Source organism: Homo sapiens, chromosome 1 (genome assembly GCF_000001405.40).
Source record: "Homo sapiens chromosome 1, GRCh38.p14 Primary Assembly".
Classification (NCBI taxonomy): Eukaryota; Metazoa; Chordata; class Mammalia; order Primates; family Hominidae; genus Homo; species Homo sapiens.
Window position 1 is genome coordinate 206,397,184 of NC_000001.11, and position 18,598 is coordinate 206,415,781.

General features: G+C 43.6%; 1 protein-coding gene across 18 annotated transcripts in view; it reads left to right on the forward strand.

Annotated features, from left to right (window-relative positions):
• The window catches only part of SRGAP2 (SLIT-ROBO Rho GTPase activating protein 2), a 260,896-nt gene that overhangs the window by 193,643 nt on the left and 48,655 nt on the right, over positions 1-18,598 (forward strand). For 12 of the 18 annotated variants that reach the window (XM_011509354.3, NM_001377444.1, NM_015326.5 and 9 more), the window contains 3 exons: positions 4,238-4,462; positions 8,066-8,167; positions 9,194-9,391. In XM_011509354.3, the coding sequence (XP_011507656.1) occupies positions 4,238-4,462; positions 8,066-8,167; positions 9,194-9,391 (525 nt within the window). Of the gene's footprint in view, positions 1-4,237; positions 4,463-8,065; positions 8,168-9,193; positions 10,842-18,598 lie in introns of those variants that run through there. The other 6 variants (XM_011509355.3, NM_001170637.4, XM_047416531.1 and 3 more) reach the window with 2 other exon arrangements.

Consider the following 18,598-nt stretch of genomic DNA (forward strand, 5'->3'; position numbering starts at 1 on the left):
ATTATCCTTTTTTGTGTCTGGCATCTTTTGTCAGCATGATGTTTTTGAATTTCATCCATGTTGTTTGCATGTATCGGTAGTGTCTTTCTTTTTCTTGCTGACCTATGAGATAAAAAGGGCCAAAAGGATGCAGTTAGAGCAGGACTAAGTGAGGAGCCTGGGATATTGGCATCCTGATCTTAACATTATTCATTACTTGCTTTAAGACATGGGATGAATCCTGTTGCAGTCCATTGCCATCTGTGTCATGTACAGCCTTCTGCCTCCTTCTTAGTGGTTCTGAAGCCAAATGTGTGCATAAGGCATTGAGGATAAGTGAAAAGAAGTTATTTTTGTTGATGCCATTACATTGACCAAGGACTAGCCTCCGACTTCTTTTTATAGTATAGTGCAAGATTTAAACTTCAGACTGTAGGAATCCACGTGAGGCATCTGCCACACTGGGGAAACCTTGACTTCAGGCCAAAAAGACGTTCTGAGCTCATTTGATGGCATCTAAGAACGTAGGCTCACTGGAATGTAATTTTCCTCCCCCATACTCTTCTGGCTCTCTCAACCCAGGAGCAGATGGATGAATGAAGAACAGGGCATTGTCCTCATGCATAGCTGGAGTGTTGTAAGTGCCGTGTACATGTATGGAAGGTCTGTGACACCATGTGCACCCAAGTCGGACATGAGGGAACTTGGCTGTTTCAGTAAGAAATGTCATTAAGGGCAGTTATTTTTCTCTTTTGTGTGAACTTGAAGTGGGTGTTGTGAAACACCCATTTTTCCTTTCCAGGCCTTGTGGAGTCTCTGGGTGAAGATATCAGCTGGGAAAGGGTTAATGAGCTATCAACTCAAGTCATCATACATCTGGATGGGCTGTCATTAACTTCTTACAAAAATTTGATTTCCCCTGAGAGATTTTTCATCAAACATTTATATAACCCAGAAATGGCCAGGGGAGTCCAGCGTGGCCACAGAACTCATCAGAAGCCATGGAAAGCCTGCTTTGTCCCCACTGTGAGCAAAATAATGTGCTTCCTGTACTTACTGGGATTCTTCTTGGAACAGGATGAAATATTCAAATCTCATTTACCTAACCTTGCCAGATATTGCTTCTTCGCTGAAGGCTCGGTTTCTGGCTGTTTCCCCTACAGGTATATAGATAGTCAAGACTCTGGAGAACCTCTTCCGAATCTGCCTGGTTGGCTAGAGGTGTAGAGGAGCCAGGGGCACATTGTGACTCAGACCCTCACTCATTGGCACAAAGAAGCTACAGAATAGTTATATAAACAGAGGCAGTGTGCCAGCCTGGGAAAACTCCCAGCCTCCCTTTGGCCATAGAGTAAGCAAAACAAATGGCTTCACTGGCCCCATCTACCCACTTGACTTAGGTCAGTATTCAGCCTAAATGTTTTATTTCCTGAGAGGCTGGAATCTGTATTTGTGGTATCAATCAGTCAACTGAAATTTATTAAATGCCTGCTGTGAGCAAGGCCTAATGCTGAGGGATGTAAAGAAGAGTGAGAAGCTAGTCTGGTTGGGGTGATATGACATGGCAAGTCATAGAATGAAGAAGCGTATTCCTTGTCATATGAAAGCTGTAGATTAGTGTGTTTCTAAGTAGAGGCCAGGGTCACTGGAGTCTAGGATTGCAGGGTTGGCTGGCTTCCCAGAGGCTAAGAATTTAATCTGGATCTTGAAGATCTGGTCCAATTCCAACAGGTGAGAGGCATAGGAAACATTTAAGGAAAAGGACATTCTGGGAGCTGAAGGGCAGAGGTCAGTGGATTTGGAGCTATATTAGTATTTTTTTAAAGTGTCTACATGGTACCAAATATCTGTAAATATATTGCCTGTTAGCCTACAACAAACTGTGTGGCTGGTGTTATCCTCATTTGAGGCCCAGAAGGATTAAGTAGCTTGCTTATGGCCATATAGCTGATTTGAAGACTAATACTCTACCCTAAACAGAGAGTATTTCATTGGATTAGAGCAGATGAATCTGAAGAAGAAAATAAAGGGAGTTGATGTTGGATGGGTAGATTGAAGACAGATTACAGTTTGTTCTGGCTATTGAACCTTGCTCAAATTATTTAACTTCACTGAACCTCAGCTTTCAAGCCTGGAAAATTAAGATTATACCAACCTCATTGGGGTTATTATGAGGATTAAAATGTAGAATGTATATAAAGCACTTAGCACATGGACTGACGTATAGTAAGCATACTTAGTGAAATAGAAGCATTTTTTAAATTTCAAAACTGAGGAAGGTGGATTTTACCTTGGGGAAAAAAAATGAGAGGTATTTTAGGTTCTTCAACAGGAAAGTGCCATAATTAAAGTCACAGTTTAGGACAGTGAAGCAGACGGTGAGGGTATGAATAGGGGTAGAGGTAGTAAGAATGGAGAGGAAAGGGAAATTACCAAAAACAGGTAAAAGTTTTTTGAAGGGTAACTTTTCTCTCCCAGATTCTACCCCCTGCCCACACCCCCTCCACCCACACTCATACACTCTGTGGGCCGTGTTACTTCTGTTCATTAGACTTATAGGCATAGAGCTCATCAACAGGGTCTACATAGAGCTAGTCAGGAAGGTTTACAGGTTCAAGGGCAGCCTGGTGAGACCAGCAGCATCTCCCAGAGAGCCCATGCCCGTGCAGAGTCCTAATGAGCCGCTTTTGTCTAGCTTCCATTTGCTCTTCCCTCCCAACTGAATTTAATGTCTTTCCATCCTCTGCCTCTAGTTAAGTTGTAACTGCTGTTATTCCACTGCAGCCAGGCAGCTGCCAGGGCCTGTTGGCACTGAACCCAGAGCCCAACCCAACTGATGTTCTCACTGAGCTTCTTGTCAGATGCCAGGAAAGAGGAGGCACATCATATGCCTTTTCTTCCCCAATAGTAGCTGCTTCCAATGTGATCATGATGAGAGGAAAAGGCTGTGGGGAGAGTTAATTTGATGCTTGCTTGTGCAATGAAATGGCAATCAGGCAGATGGCCTTACTCTATGCATAGATTCTTCTTTGAGGTTTCTTCTCAGGACCCGGACCTCAGAGCTGCTTAAGCAATAGAGAAGATGATGGATGGCCAAGGAATTGGGATCTCTGGGTCTTTTGGGAGGGATGGGGAATATTATCACAGAGTTACAGAATGCCATTGCTGAAGAGGGCCTTAGGGATTACATTTAGTCCAAGGATTTTCAGACTTTTCTCTAACAGAAGAATTCTTTCTTCAAACCAAACCTTACATAGAATCCCTAAATATTAAATAGAAAAAAGAGCAGGGTTGGCTTGGTTGAAGGAGGAATAGAAGACTCCAAGTCCTAGTAGTTGGGTTGTCCTTTTACTCACTTCTCAAGGGCAGCTTCAGTGCCAGCTCTGGTCTACTGCTTGAAAGCCACTAGCCTGGCCAAATCTGTTCATTTTACTATGGAAGAAACAGGTCCAGAGAAGGGGAGTGGCTTTTCCAAGGTTGCTTGATTCTGCGCCAGTGCTTTTTTTATACAGTTGCCTCTTTTTGCATTTTGTTGTAAAAAATCAGAATCCTTTACATGGCATGAATTTTTCCAGTAACACTTTTGCGTAGAGCTTTTTAGTCTTATAAATGCTATTTCTGTAGTGCAGGGGCATCTGTTGTCAGATGCCAGGAAGGAGGAGGCATGTCAGAAACCCTAGTCTGCAGCTAAGGCCTGTCCTAGGATGTTGGGCATTGGTGGGGATGATGACCCACAGAGTCAGCTCCCCATTCTCTCCTTCTCCCATCTAGAGTTGAGCTTGCATACATTAGCTGCTGTTGCAATACTCCTGCTTTCAGAACCCTGAAATGGCCTGGCTTGGTTGCTATATAGTGATTTAACCACAGTAACCCTCAGTGAGTGGCAGGTTGTATTTTTATTGTTGAATTTTGTTATAATGACAACCCCAGATAAACCTGAAAATGAAAGAGGATTCTCTTTAACTCTCAATTCTTCTCATGTTTATGAAGTAGCGCTTAATTAAATAATGTCATTTTATCCTTATGAATCTTCTTCCTCCTAACCGCCTCACAGCCCTCTAGGGTGTGTTTAACTGTTGAATTGGGAGTCAAGAACTGAGAACTCTCACCCAGACCTTGGAAGTCGGAATGTCAGCCCTCTTTCTACTGCACAGCCAAGCCTATTGATGTGGTCAGATCTGCCCTCTGGACCACCTTCCTTTTCTGCCAAGCCTTGGGGCTGTCCATGGTGTGCTCATGTGCCTTCTCCTTCCCACAGCAGTGTTGTGACTTAGGCTACCATGCAAGTCTGAACCGGGCTCTACGCACCTTCCTCTCTGCTGAGTTAAACCTGGAACAGTCGAAGCATGAGGGTCTGGATGCCATCGAGAATGCAGTAGAAAACCTGGATGCCACCAGTGACAAGCAGCGCCTCATGGAGATGTACAACAACGTCTTCTGCCCCCCTATGAAGTTTGAGTTTCAGCCCCACATGGGGGATATGGTGAGGCCCTTTCCCTATACCCCCACCCTCAAGGGGCTTGAGTGGACTTGTCTAGATTAATTACACAGAAGGCACATTATTCTGGGGTGGGAGAGGCCTGGGCCCGGCTTTTTGTCAGGTGGGTGAGGCACATTCCACTTATTGAGCAAACAGTTAGTGAGTGCCTGCTGTCAGACACTCGGGCTTGGGTGCAGACATGGGGGATTAAAGCCCTCAGGGAGCTTACAGTCTGGGGAATAAGGTCGCTAAGGCTTGAGGAGGGTTCAAACTATGCATAGAGAGGGGTATCCAAAGGGGCCCAGCAGGATCAAAGAAGGTGAAAAACAGCAGGTATATTCTAAAAACTACCAACAGTTCAGGATGGTGAAAGGAAAGTGAGGGAGGGGGGCGCTCCCAGTGGTGAGGCTAGAAGAAATGAGAGCTGAGGTGGGGCCACATCCTAGAGGCTTTAGTGGGGAAGCGAGGGCTAGGCAGGGAATGCTGTGATCTTTTGGCATTTGGCAGAGTTCTGAATAATCTTATTCTCCTGAAATTAGAAGACTGTGATGAAGTGTATAGTTTGGGTATTGAATAAAAAAGAATGGGTACCTGCAGGAAGGAAAGGAGCTAAGATGCTATCCCAAAGGCCTGATGCTGGTTGCCCAGACAGGGGAGCATGAACATGGGGGCCTTGTTTTGGACTCTTAGCCTCCAGTGACTAGAATAAAAAGGGCCTAAAAAAGCTAAAGTGAGAGGCAGGAGAAGCTCCTCGGTTTTCATTGTTCTGAATCTTTTGGTTCCACTTGTGTGGTTGTGTGTACAAGTCAGAGTGAACCTCATTCCTGTGGATAAGAGCCACCATTTCTCCTACTGGTGAAATTAGAAGGAGGTTGTATAGGGCTTATGCAATAGAAAAGATCAAGATGGACCTTTGGGTATAGTTGGCTTTAGGAGGAGGAATTTTACCAAGATACTGTTTTGCTGTCTCTGTACTACTTCCTGTGTGTTAACTCCATTCTCAGACAGGCCATTCTCCCATGGAGGCAAGGTGACTGCATTTCCAGCCTTCCCTGGTAGGTTGAAATCTAGTGGAAAGAGTCTCTGCCTCCCTCCTCAAAGCCCCCATAAAGTTTGTGTGTCTCATTGGTTTTGATTGGGTAAAGTGCTTATGCCTGGGTCCATGCAAAGCACGTGGCCTGAGTTGTGGAGTGGGAGGTTCCCCTCGCCGAGGGCAGTTAGACCAAAGCTACCAAAAAAAGGAGGAGTGGACGCCGGGGACCAAAAAACAGCAACATGTGTGCTCCTCAGGAATGATGCTTCCCTTAAGATTAGCATCCAGACTCTAGAAATCCCCACTCCAGAATGACAGCTGTGGCAGTGGAACCAGAGGATTTGCTGTCATCAGTTGGCCTCTATGGAGAGTGAGACGCTGTCCTGGAGATAGAAATGTGGAGTTGGTTTCCTTCCTTTCCTTCCTGGGGAAAATCAAACCATTTACAGTTCATTTCCATTGCTGTGGCTTAGGAAATGTCAGTGTCTGAACAGATGGAGAAGTGAGATGGCAGCATGTGCAATTAGAATTGGGGGAAGGGGTGTCACCAAGCCTCAGGAAGCCCCATTCCTCACCTGCCCTGGCTTCTGGTCAAACTTGCCTTCCAAGCACCTTCTCCAGCTGTCACTGAGGTTCCTTCCCAGGGATCAGTGGAACTTGGGGACCAGCTGAGTGGAGTGATACATTTTCTGGTGTTAGTGACTGAGTTGCCTTCTGAGCCAAACAGCTTGTCTCCATAAAGGAGGAATCCAGATGCTGGGTGCTCAAGCCCCCTCCTCCCCCTGTCAGAGCCTTATTTCCATACTCCAGAGTGCAGCTGAAGTGTATTACCTTGCACCCTGGTAGCGGACCACTGCCAAAGCATGCATCATCATCAGCTCTGCTACTTCTTAAAGGAACAGGCTTGGAGGTGGTTTTTCCCTCCATGATTCCTCTCTGCTAGGTCTGGGTTACTTTAAAAATCAATAGCTCACTCTTCTGCCAGGGCCCTCCCTTTATGTAATATAGCTGATCAGTGGCTGAGCCAGGCAGGGGCCAGGACCAGTCCTGGAGCTTGTGAAGGTTCCGCATTCTAGCCTAGCCTTCATATGAGTGAAAATAAAAAGAGATGAGAGGGTGGGTCATTCTTGGCCTCTGCAGCCAGTCTATCCCCATCAGTGTGGGTTGTCTGCAGATTGTGGAGGCAACAGGAGGGAGCTGCCTGGAAGTCGTTGAACTAGGGCCAAAGATTGGGTAGCATTTTGACCGGAAGCCTTAAAATTGGCCAGGGTCCCACACTAACTGGTGTTCTGGGGTGCACAGCACATGAATTGATGCCAAGTGCTCTCAGATGTACTAGGAGGAGGTGCTTGGCTCCATTTTTGGTGCCCTCAGAGGCTGTGGGACTCTGGATGCCTGACTGGTGACATCAGGCAGCCAGAGAATTTCACTCTTGGCGCTAACCGGTTCTGGCCACTGAGCTTTCTCCATTGTGTCTGCTTATCCAAGAGTTAGAGTGAAGTCAGCTCTCTGTGGATCTGAGAGTTGGCTCAGGCCAGCCTCTCAGCTGGGGGAAGAGGTCAAGTCAGTTGGGAGCTTAAAAGCCAATGGAGGAAAAGGTCAAGTCCCAGCCCCCTCCATTTGAAGAAAGGTTTTTTCTTTTCAAGCAAGGGAATGGTCCGTGGGCATGTGAATGTGCCCACTCTTTGCTGAGGAGGAAGGAGACCATTTCTATCCAGATGTCTCTCTGCAGACAAGAGGCTAAAGGACGAACGGTAACAAGGTGACAGGAGCTGTCTCCACATGGGTCCTGCCTCCCAACTCTCTCAGCCTTCTGCTCCTCATCTGTCATCCAGGGGACTGTGGATGACCTCATCCCATAACCACATCTCCAATGGGAGACAGTGGAACAGCCATTCCTTCACACAGGGGAAAGCTAATTGGCAATAATCCTTGCGGGAAGGTCAGACTCCTCTCTTACAGATCTAGGGAAGGCCTGGGGTAAAATGATGGCTCTTTGGAAAATGCCAAGCTCCTTCAGATTCCATACCCCCTCGGGCCCTCTAGCATAGGCAACGAACTTGTTCCTGGCTTCACGCTTTCTCATTGAATCAAAGCTCTCATGCATGGCCTGGATTTGTAAACACATGCTGGCTGCCAGCAGTGGCAAGTTAGCCTCCTGACCCACTTCTCTCCTGCTTTCACTCTGGTGTATGAAGGGGGATGAGGGAGGGGCCAGAGAGGTGGCCACTTGGACCTTTGGCAGGAAATCTTCACTGTGCCAAAGCATTGTGTTTCTGGAGCCGGAGCTGCCTGAGGCACTCTTCTCCAGCCTCCTCAGCCTTCCATGGAGCTGCAGACCCTACATAGACCTACCCCTGCCGGGCTCCAAACAGATCCCCCTACCCATTCCTTTCATGTACTGTTTGGTCCTGGAAGAGGCTCACACAAGTTGGCTTTGGGTTTTGCTTCAACATAGAAACCACGAGCCTTATACCTTGAATATGGGTAGTTTCATTGCCAGTAATGGGAACTCTGGAACTGCCAAAGGGACTGTATCCTCTTTCTGACCTGGTGTTGCTTTCTTTTGTTAGGCTTCCCAGCTCTGTGCCCAGCAGCCTGTCCAGAGTGAGCTGGTACAGAGATGCCAACAACTGCAGTCTCGCTTATCCACTCTAAAGATTGAAAACGAAGAGGTGAGTTTCTTCCTTAGGAGGCTCAAAGCCACACTCTTAGTTTCCCTGTTGAAACTTTTGCTGCTGCCCGTCTGGGAGCAGGTGGAAGGAGCATGCAGAGAATGTCCGGGCGGCCGCAAACATTTCCTAGCCAAATGTAGGCTTGGACTTTCCCCCTCTGCTACATCCTGCCCTTGAACTCCAGGAAGTTGCTCTTGCATTGCCAAAGGTTGTGCTCTATTTTGAGCTTTTGCGAAATGCTTTTTTTCCCCTCTACACATTTAATCAAAATGGCACTTGGCAGCTGTGTGAACAATATTGTGTCTCTGAAACCACCTCCTCATGCCTAGCTTTTTCCAGCATGTTCAAACAAACAGAGGCCTTTGACTTTGACACTTCAAACATCTCCATCCTCTTAGGAAAGGGTGAGTTTCTTCTGGGCTCAGTGTATTTGCTTTCAAAAAGCGGTTCAAAAGGGCGGGTGATCCAGCTTTCTGTTGAGCTCAGATGGCTTCTTACCTTGTGTCTCAGTAAGTCTTACTTTCTGCAGGAAGATCAGGAAGAAGTAGGGATAGGTCACTTAGTTTGCAAATGAGCAAACAAGTTCATCAGTTTGTTGAAGGTCATGAAACAGAACCTGGGGCTTTGCAGTACTAGGCCCATCACACATTTTAATTAGCTGTTTGTATGAGGGGGTTGGTTTAGATTTATTTTATTCTCTTTCCCTTAAAACTTCTATTATAATGTTGTTATATAATATTATAATAATGCTAATATTAAATTTTAAAAGTAAACATTAAAAGATCTGGGTCAAGTACATAGCATGAAGGGTTGTAGTGGCTTTTAGGTTTTCACTGTAGAGAGTAGCATGCTGTAGCAGAGTCCATGTGATGTTTACCTCCCACTTAGCACTGTCCAGTGGGAAGCAGAGCTGCACACTCTGATGGCATCCTGTGGCCTTCCCCAGCCCACTCTCTTCAAGCTTCTCCATCACCTGCTGTTTAACAACCCACCCTTCATGCATCCTGTTGGCCCTTGTCGTGGCAGGTAAAGAAGACAATGGAGGCCACCCTGCAAACCATCCAGGACATTGTGACTGTCGAGGACTTTGATGTGTCTGACTGCTTCCAGTACAGCAACTCCATGGAGTCCGTCAAGTCCACGGTCTCTGAAACCTTCATGAGCAAGCCCAGCATTGCTAAGAGGAGAGCCAACCAGCAAGAGACAGAGCAGTTTTATTTCACAGTAAGGGAGTGCTATGGCTTTTAAAGAGCGTCAGCATGCACTGCAGCACTCAAGGGAGATTTGGAACTCAGAGTCCTTGTTAAGTGTCTGAAGGACAGGCGTTGAATATCTTAGATACGAATGTGGGCATACTCAGAGACCATCCCTACACTTAAAGGTGCAAACATTAAAAGTTGTATATGTCTAACAGGGATCCGCCCAAGAGAAAGGATGCTCCCAAGTATACAACTAAGAAGATTTTCTTTTTTAAGAAATTTTTAACTAGCTAGTAGGCTTTCACTGGAAAGTTTCCTTCTCAGGCACAGGGGATCCTGAAAGGGGAACTTCATCTTTTAGTTCTTGGAGAGTACATACAAATATTCATAATAACACATATTTTGTTTATAAAAATCTATAATCTCTTCTAGGTGATATGATGACATTATTTTATAACTTTTATTGTTGGGAAACTATTTTTTCTAATTATTGCTAAAACTTAAAGGATGGGTAATATGCAGCATTACTATTTTGCACATAATTCCAAAACATCGTATTTTCTTATTCATGTATCTCTAGTCTTCTTTTAGACAGTTGGACCCTTTTTTCTTTTTCTTTTTTTTTTTTTTTTTAAGTATTGTTAACAATCCTTTGGAAGTCACTACTGGTCTTTGTGTGCTGCTTTTTAATAATTGAGTTATTTTGAGCTTGCCAAGTAGGATCTATTGCCTGGACTAAAATTTATTTCCTAATCTTCTGATGACCAAGAAAGGAAAAATTAAGTTTGCAGATGTGAGATGAAATATAGCCAGTGAATATGCATACTGATTCTGAATGAAAGGAATTAACTTTTCAGTCAAGAAACAGTCTGCATGCAGTAAATTGAATTTTTCCTGCAACTGGAATGATTTGTTTAATTCTTCTTTGAACACTGCCCTTTCTCCAGTAAGAACACTAATGATTTGCTAATATTTTTTAAAGAAATCTGTTTTTTTAATTAGTTAAGCTCAGACTTCCTCTTATTTTTTATCCTAGAGAAAACTGCTAAAAGGGAATGATATATCAGTACTATTCTTCTAAAACAACTTTTTAAAAATGATTATACAAAGCCAAATATGCTCATTATATAAAATTTAGAAGGAAAAAGAAGGAAATAAAAATTTTCCATAATTCTACCAGCTAGAGATAATGGTGTTAGAATATATTCCTTTCTAATCTGTTTTCTATGCATGCACAAACACATATGTGAGCACATATTTATAATTTTATTCTAAAAAATAGGATACTGCTGTACATATTGTTTTACAATCTAAGTCATATAATTATAATATTCTTTAAGCATATTTATGAGTAAAATATTAAAACCTATACAAAAAAATAATAGAATGGCATTTTAGCTCATTCATTGATTTTTGTAAAATATTTAACACACTCCCTGGTTTGTAGTTAGCGTTCAATAAATGCTAAAAATTTATCTTCACCATCATCATTAATTTATTTATTAATCATTATTAAATTATTCATTGATCATTTTTTGAGGATTTACTATTGCCAGACACTGTGCTACAAGCTGGGAATGCTGACAGTATAAGATAAAGAGGGAAATGATGGGGGATGGGTCATGTAAAGGGAGAACTTTCATTTTTACTTCATATATATCTAAGCAGTTATAATAGGTTGATTTTTGTAATTTAAAAAATGTAAAAATGCATACATGCACTAGTGCATGAATGGCAGCCAGGATGAGTGGAATTGGAGAAGCATCACACACACAGTGACTTTTGTGTTTGATCTTGAAGAATGAGCGAACCAGGCAGGGAGTCGGGGAGGAGAATCGCATTCCTTGAGGAAAGAGCAGCATGTGGGAAAACATAAATGCACGCAATAACCTGGCTCACATGTTAAGAGAACTTTCTGACTATAATGAGGGATGTGTTGCTGCCCCAAGCTTCATTATCTAAGGAGTTTGTTGAACACTCTCTAGAGGCTTTTAATAATAGGATTGTTTAGCTGGTCTGTCTGGACTGCTTAGATATAACACTATTTAAATGACCCAATCTCATTACATTGTGAAGATTTCCATTTTTTAGGTTACGTAAGAAATTTTGGACCTAAAAATCTTGCATTTTAAGACAGTCTTTGTCAGAATTACTTTTTGGCTCTAAATGAATTCTGTAACATTTGTTTTCTAAATTGACCTTTAGTAAAAGCAGGAATGGCCATATTCAAACTGGTAACCTCGCAAATCCTGCCCACCCTTTCACTTTCTGTCTCAATACATTGATGTCCTCTAACCCATTTCCTGTCTTATGTGGCTCTAGTGCCACTTATCAAAATTGTGTGCAAATTTCCTTGGCTAACAGTAACAGTTTTTGTCTGGGCTTGTCTAGCAGTGGAATTCTGCCTGAGTTCATCATTTTTGTGACTGGTACTTGAAGTGCATCAGATGATTAATTTCATGATAAGAGGGCTTTTTGGGGTGGTGAAATAGACATTTATGGAAAATGGGATACCCACATTAAGCAGGGTGACTACCTGTTTACCATACAACCCACACAAAGCCAATACAACTATAGATGTGCTTTCTTTAGTCTGTTGCCTCTGCAAACATTGCCCGTGTGTTTCTCTATGCCCTTCAAAAACATCAGAGCAGCACATCCTGGAAGATCCTATCTTTTGTAAGTTTAAGAAGCAGCCTCTTGTCACAGCTTGACTCCTAGGTAGTGTGCCTAGTGACCAAGAGGGCTGCTAAGAAAGCTTTCTGACCACTTGTGGCTGTCATTGGACTGATTTGCCCAGATGACATCAATTGGGAATTTGAGGCATGACCTATAAAGATCAGTTGCTTGCAAGAGTCTCAGGAAAATAATTGTGGAGTTAAGAAACTTGAAGCGATTTTTAAAAATTACCTAACCCAACCTTCTCATTTGAAAAATTAAAAAATAAATAGGCCAGATATGGCGGCTCATGCCTGTAATCCCAGCGCTGTGGGAGCCTGAAGCGGGTGGGTCTCTTGAGGCCAGGAGTTCAAGACCAGCCTGGACAACATGGTGAAACCCTGTCTCTACTAAAAACACAAAAATTAGCTGGGTGTGGTGGCAGGCGCCTGTAATCCCAGCTACTCAGGAGGCTAAGGTGGGAGGATTACTTGAACCGGGGAGGCATAGGTTGTAGTGAGCCAAGATCGTGTCACTGCACTCCAGCCTGGGTGACAGAGTAAGACTCTGCCTAAAAAAAAAAAAGAAAGATTAAAAAATAAATAAATCTGCTGGGCGTGGTGGCTCACGCCTGTAATCCCAGCACTTTGGGAGGCCGAGGCAGGCGGATCACCTGAGGTCGGGAGTTTGAGACCAGCCTGATCAACATGGAGAAACCTCGTCTCTACTAAAAACACAAAAAAATTAGCTGGGCGTGGTGGCGCATGCCTGTAATCCCAGCTACTCAGGAGGCTGAGGCAGGAGAATCACTTGAACCCGGGAAGCGGAGGTTGCAGTGAGCCGAGATCGTGCCATTGCACTCCAGCCTGGGGCAACAAGAGTGAAACTCCATCTCAATCGATCAATCAATCAATCAGTAAATCCAGAGAGGATGGGTAGCTCACAAAAGCTGGACCCACCACTCTGGTTACAGGGTCTCTGGCCACAGGCTGCTTCTCTACACCCTGTGGAAGAAGCAGAGGTGAAGGGAAGGGCTCAGGAACAGCTCAGCAATTTTTGCCTCTTATTTGCCCTCAGTGGTGACATGTTTCCTGATCTTCTTGGCTTTGTGTTTATCGCTTATCTTTTATAACACATAGTTCATCAATGTCTACTTTTTACCCGTTGCCTTTTTTATTGTGATTGTTAAAAATCAATACTTTTAAAAGATGCAAAGATTTGAAAAGGGTATACAGGAAAACGTACTATAAAGTTTCTTTTCATTCCTGACTCCTATTTCCCCTCCCCTCTGCTGGTGATTGAAACCAGTTTCTTCTGTGTCCTTCCAGAGATACTCTATGCATGGACAACAACTGACGTATCTGTAAATACCCTTTAATATGATAAATTACATTAGAAATGTAATGAAAGAAAATGGAAGTAGATATAGAAGTATTCCACTTATACAGTTCTTCACTTTTTTAACGTTCTTTATCTTGGATCTTATTTTTATGTTAGTCCCAAAAGATCTGCGTCCTTTTTAAATGGCTGGATAGAATTCCACTGTATGAATGTGCCATCATTTGTTTAACAAATTCCCTCCTCATAGGCAGTGATGCTCGCTGTTTAGCCAAGGTTTACCAAAGCTTTATAAGGCTGGCATTTTCCTAAGTATTTCCTTTGTTTTTTGGAAACCAAGCCTCGGCTCTTGTTGCCCAGGCTGGAGTGCAATGGTGCAATCTGGGCTCACTGCAACCTCCACCTCTCAGGTTCAAGCAGTTCTCCTGCCTCAGCCTCCCAAGTAGCTGGGATTGCAGGCACACGCCACCACGCCTGGCTAATTTTTTGTATTTTTAGTAGAGACGGGGTTTCACTATGTTGGCCAGGCTGGTCTCAAACTCCTGACCTCGTGATCCGCCCACCTTGGCCTCCCAAAGTGCTGGGATTACAGGCGTGAGCCACCATGCCCAGCCTAAGTATTTCCTTTTATAGGGAGTTGGAGAATTAGGTTCTTTTATGGGGGATAGAACAGTGAAGGGGTTAAGGATCATGGCCGATAAAGTAACAAAGCTAAACAGTCTGAATTCTTAGGGACAGGTTTGGGGAAGGTAATAGGAGAGGAGGCAATGCCTTGGCCACTGGGGCACTGAGTGACACTAGACTTGGAACTTGTGGTCTGAGATCTTTTTATCTTGGTATTCTCTTGCAGGCCCTTGGTAAACGTGTGCTAGTGAGTACAAATGAGTGAATGCCCCTGTGCTGTCAATTAAACTGGGGAGACATGCTCCATTTAAAGTTTACTCTATTATGTATTCTATCTGACAGCTGTTTCCTATTTTAAAAATTGACGGGGAGGAGGGGAAATGTCAGCATGCCTGCATGGTGGGGAAACAGCCACTATAGTGACATCTGTGTATCTCTGAGCATGGGCTGGGTAGGTGTACTCACTCCTCCTGCCTTGCTGCAGTGGATACTTAGGGTCTTGGGTTCACGCAGATTAAATCCAAGGCATAAGCAACATCCAGTGAGTTTTATACCCCCATGGTAAGAGTGTATTTAAAGGGAAGAGGTTTTTAAAAATGAAATTTGAAAAGCATTCTAGTGCCTCTTACTACTTTTTTAAGGCCCAAAACCTTCTGCTTTCATTCTGCTTTTATTTTAGCACAAAGCAAAGATGCTTAGGGAAGGGATGCTTTTAGGTTCACTGAGGAGGTGATTCAGGTATAAAGGAACACCTTTCTGAGTGCCTGCTCTATGCCAGGCCCTGTGCTATTAACAGTAATGCTTATTATCCAATTTCATTCTCACCAACTTTGTGAAAAAAATAGTATTCTCATTTTTCGGATGGAAAAACTAAGACTCAGGGGGTTAAATGATTTGCCCAAGGTTAGGAGAGTTAGTAAGTGGTAGGACTAGAATATTCCAACTCATGCTTTTTCATTTTAATGCAACTAAAACGTCTATCAAGGAGGGAATGTGCAGAAAGAAAAGTTATTATGTTAATACTTTTCAATAAACAAAACTCACTGCTGACAGTTAATATCCAATTAGGAATTATTAGGAAATCAATTAATGAGATCATAAAAACTGAATTGAAGTTTCACAATGGCACTAAACAAAATGCCCAATAGACTCTTTGCCTCCCTTCCTACTTTTTGAAGAAATTCTCAGTTTTGATTATTTTAAGTGTGAAAGTTGTTGGGGGTGGGCACTGGTCAGACTGTGTTTTAGGAACTTGATTTTATTTTGGTGAATACCTAGAATAAAATATTACCTGTTCTTTTGCTCCTTCATTGAGGAAAACCCCAGGTAGCCACTTTGATTTTGGGTGTTTGGTGAAGGAAGGAAAAAGAACTACCTAATATTGGAACATGCCCTAAGTAAGGAGAGTGATCCTCATTGCCCAAGGAAGGGATTTTGAGATTGGAGATTATAAGCAGCCCTTTTCCTGGCCCCCGTGATCTCCAGAAGTCATTAAAAGCCACCTATTCTTCCCTTGCATTCTTCAGCGGTCTCAGCTCCTTTCTCTGTGTTGTCTGTCCAACAGCAACAGAAACCTTCTAACTCACTTCCACCAATTAAAGACAAGGTCACTTATCCCCAACGAGTCTCTCATATGGATAAGTGCTGACTTGTGGGTGGGATAGGGGAGTGATAAATAAAATAACGTGCCTGCAGACTCTGAGATGCCTTTACCTTTCCATACCTGGCTTACCTGGATGGAAAACTCCCAACTGTGGTTTCCACGCCAGTATTAGGGATACAGTTCATACCTTGACACAGTTATGATCCTTCAGGATTTAATGAAACCCGAAGAGGTAATCCATCATACATCTTTACCAGATTGTTATTTATTTTAATGGTTCATCAAGTGATAGCCAGAGTTAACTAATGAATTGTGAACATGAATTTAAAAAATGATTTCTGGAATCACAAGTAGTGAGAGGAAGGAATTTGTATCCATCTCCTTTGAGAACTGTGGCTGTTTTCTGAGCAGTCTGGTCTTGTTTTGAAGGTTACAGCTTCTTGGTGAATTTTCCTCATTAGGAAACCTTTAGAGTCTCCTGGGATAACCTTCCAAAGAGAGAGGCTTTTGAGGCTTGCATTGTTGGCAATGGATATTTCCTGAAGGCTTTCCACCTCTGGGCCCTAAAGTACTGTTCCAAACCCACAATTAGGCATTGGTTGGGGATTTGGATATTACCCCGGGAAGAATGACAGCAGGTGAGCTGGCATCTGGAGCAGATGGAAAAGGGAAGGTGATAACAGAGCCTCTTTCCTTGCAGAAGTTCTTGTGCAAAAGCATAAAAGGACAGAGGGAACAGATCATGAATAAGGCAGTAGAAATGATTTGGTGTAAGATTTGGTTTTGGCTTGTTTTATTTTTAATTTAGAGAGTACGGGCACACTAGGGGCTTGGTTTGTAACTGCTGAGGAAGGGTCTACCCAGAGGAGAGTGAGACTGCTCATTCATTTATTCATCATGCATTTATTGAGTATCTGCTATCTGCTAGGCGTGGTAGTATCAGGGATGCAAAGGATAATGAATGACATGGTCTCTGACCATAGAGAGGAGGCAGTCTGAAGAAAAAGACACATGAGTAATAAACCCTCTGTGACAGGGCTGTATGAGAAGTGCTGTCATGGAGATTTGCATGGTACACACAGGACCATCTGGGTGAACATGGGAGGGCTAGGGACTGCATCCCAGAGAAAGCAGATTTTTCTTTTGTTTTTAAACAAGAGAGAGAATCAGATGCAAGCTCTTAGTTAAAAGTTCACACTGTACAGAAAAGTATAGAGTAAAAGTAACTCACATTTGTTCACTTTTCTTTTCTTTTTCTTTCTTTTTTTTTTTTTTTTGAGACAGAGTCTTGCTCTGTCGCTCAGGCTGGAGTGCAGTGGTGCAATCTTGGCTCGCTGCAAGCTCCGCCTCCCAGGTTCAAGCAATTCTCCCGCCTCAGCCTCTCGAGTAGCTGGGATTACAGGCACTCACCACCACCATGCCCGGCTAATTTTTGTATTTTTTTGTTAGAGATGGGGTTTCACCATGTTGGCCAGGCTGGTCTCAAACTCCTGTCCTCAAGTGATCCATCTGTCTCAGCCTCCAAAAGTGCTGGGATTATAGGCCTGAGCCACTGCACCTGGCTCTGTTCACCTTCTCTTTCTATCACTCTTAATCCTAAGTGGCAATCCATGAAATCAAAGGTTTGATGTATAATTATATGTTTTACTTAATATACATTAAAAGACAGACAGAACTATTACCATTTAAAATGGTGCATCCACCTATCTACCTCAGTGATCTCATATATCACCAGTAATTCACGGATCACACTTTGGGAAACCTGGCCATTTGACTTCTGAGTTCAGACTTAGGCAGATAGCCCCTGATCTGGAGGATGAACCACTGCAGCAGGAGGTGATCAAGGCAAACTAAGACCCCCAAGAAAGGCTGTGGAGGAGAGCGGAAAAGATACTGTGTTAAAAGTCCAAAGGCCTTAGATTGGGCCTGACACTACCACTTGCTAGCTTGCAATGATCAGCAATTTATTTGATACCTCCCCTCCCCTGAGATAATCTTATCTGTAATAAGGAAATAATATCTTCCCTATGTGCCATACAGTTATTTATTGTTAGAGTCGAATGAGAGAATATGCGGTGAAGTGCTCTAAAACCTGCTATGTTGCTGCATGCATAAAGCATTAATACTACAAAATTTAGTTCTGCTTCTCTCCTTCTCCTGCTCTGTACCATGATGGATGGGGCATTTTGTCGTAATGGTTAAGAGCACATGCTGTATTGTCAAACTGCCTGTATTTGGATACTAACTTTACCACTCACTAACTGTTTGACCTTGAGCAACTTAATTAAACTCTCGAAACCTCAGTGCTCTCATGTGTAAAATGGAAATGATGATGATGATGATAGTTCCTAGGGTTGTTTTGAAGATTCAGTGAATTGTCTGGGGACATACGGTCTCTCACTGGGCAGACGAGGGTTGAGAGAGAACAAATCTGAAAGTGCAGCACAGCAATCATATTTTGACTGTGAGAGCAGGTGGGATCACATTTCCAAAACTTCATCTTGTATTTAGACCTGGATGTGTGTATGCAAGTCGGGGATGTCAGCCCCTTCCGCTGAGTGCTCAGAAATCCGAAGCTTTCCATAAAGACTCCATGCAGAATAGAGAAGGAAGCTGTTGAGGATATGGCTCAAAGATGCTCCACATCCTGGGCTTGCAGCTGAGGCAGGGACTGAGCCTGCCATTGGCACTGCTCCTGGTGTGATGGAATGTCCCCCCCTCCTCCCACCGAGGGGCCAGGGCAGGGTGGGATGTCAGTGGAGGTGACAGATAGCAGGTGTGTGTCCTCACACCAAGAAGACCAGGGCTCAATAAGTTCATCTACCCTCCCTGCTCTTCCTCAGTGAAACTGCAGGAGAGGGGCTCTAGGAAACAATTTCTTTATACTGGCCATCATAGAACTCCCAGAAAAAACCTGGAGAAGGATATTAATCCACCATGAAAATCAACAGCTGCCCATATGATCAGTGCCTTAAAGAAATTAAAAAATTGACTGGTGGAAATTGGGTC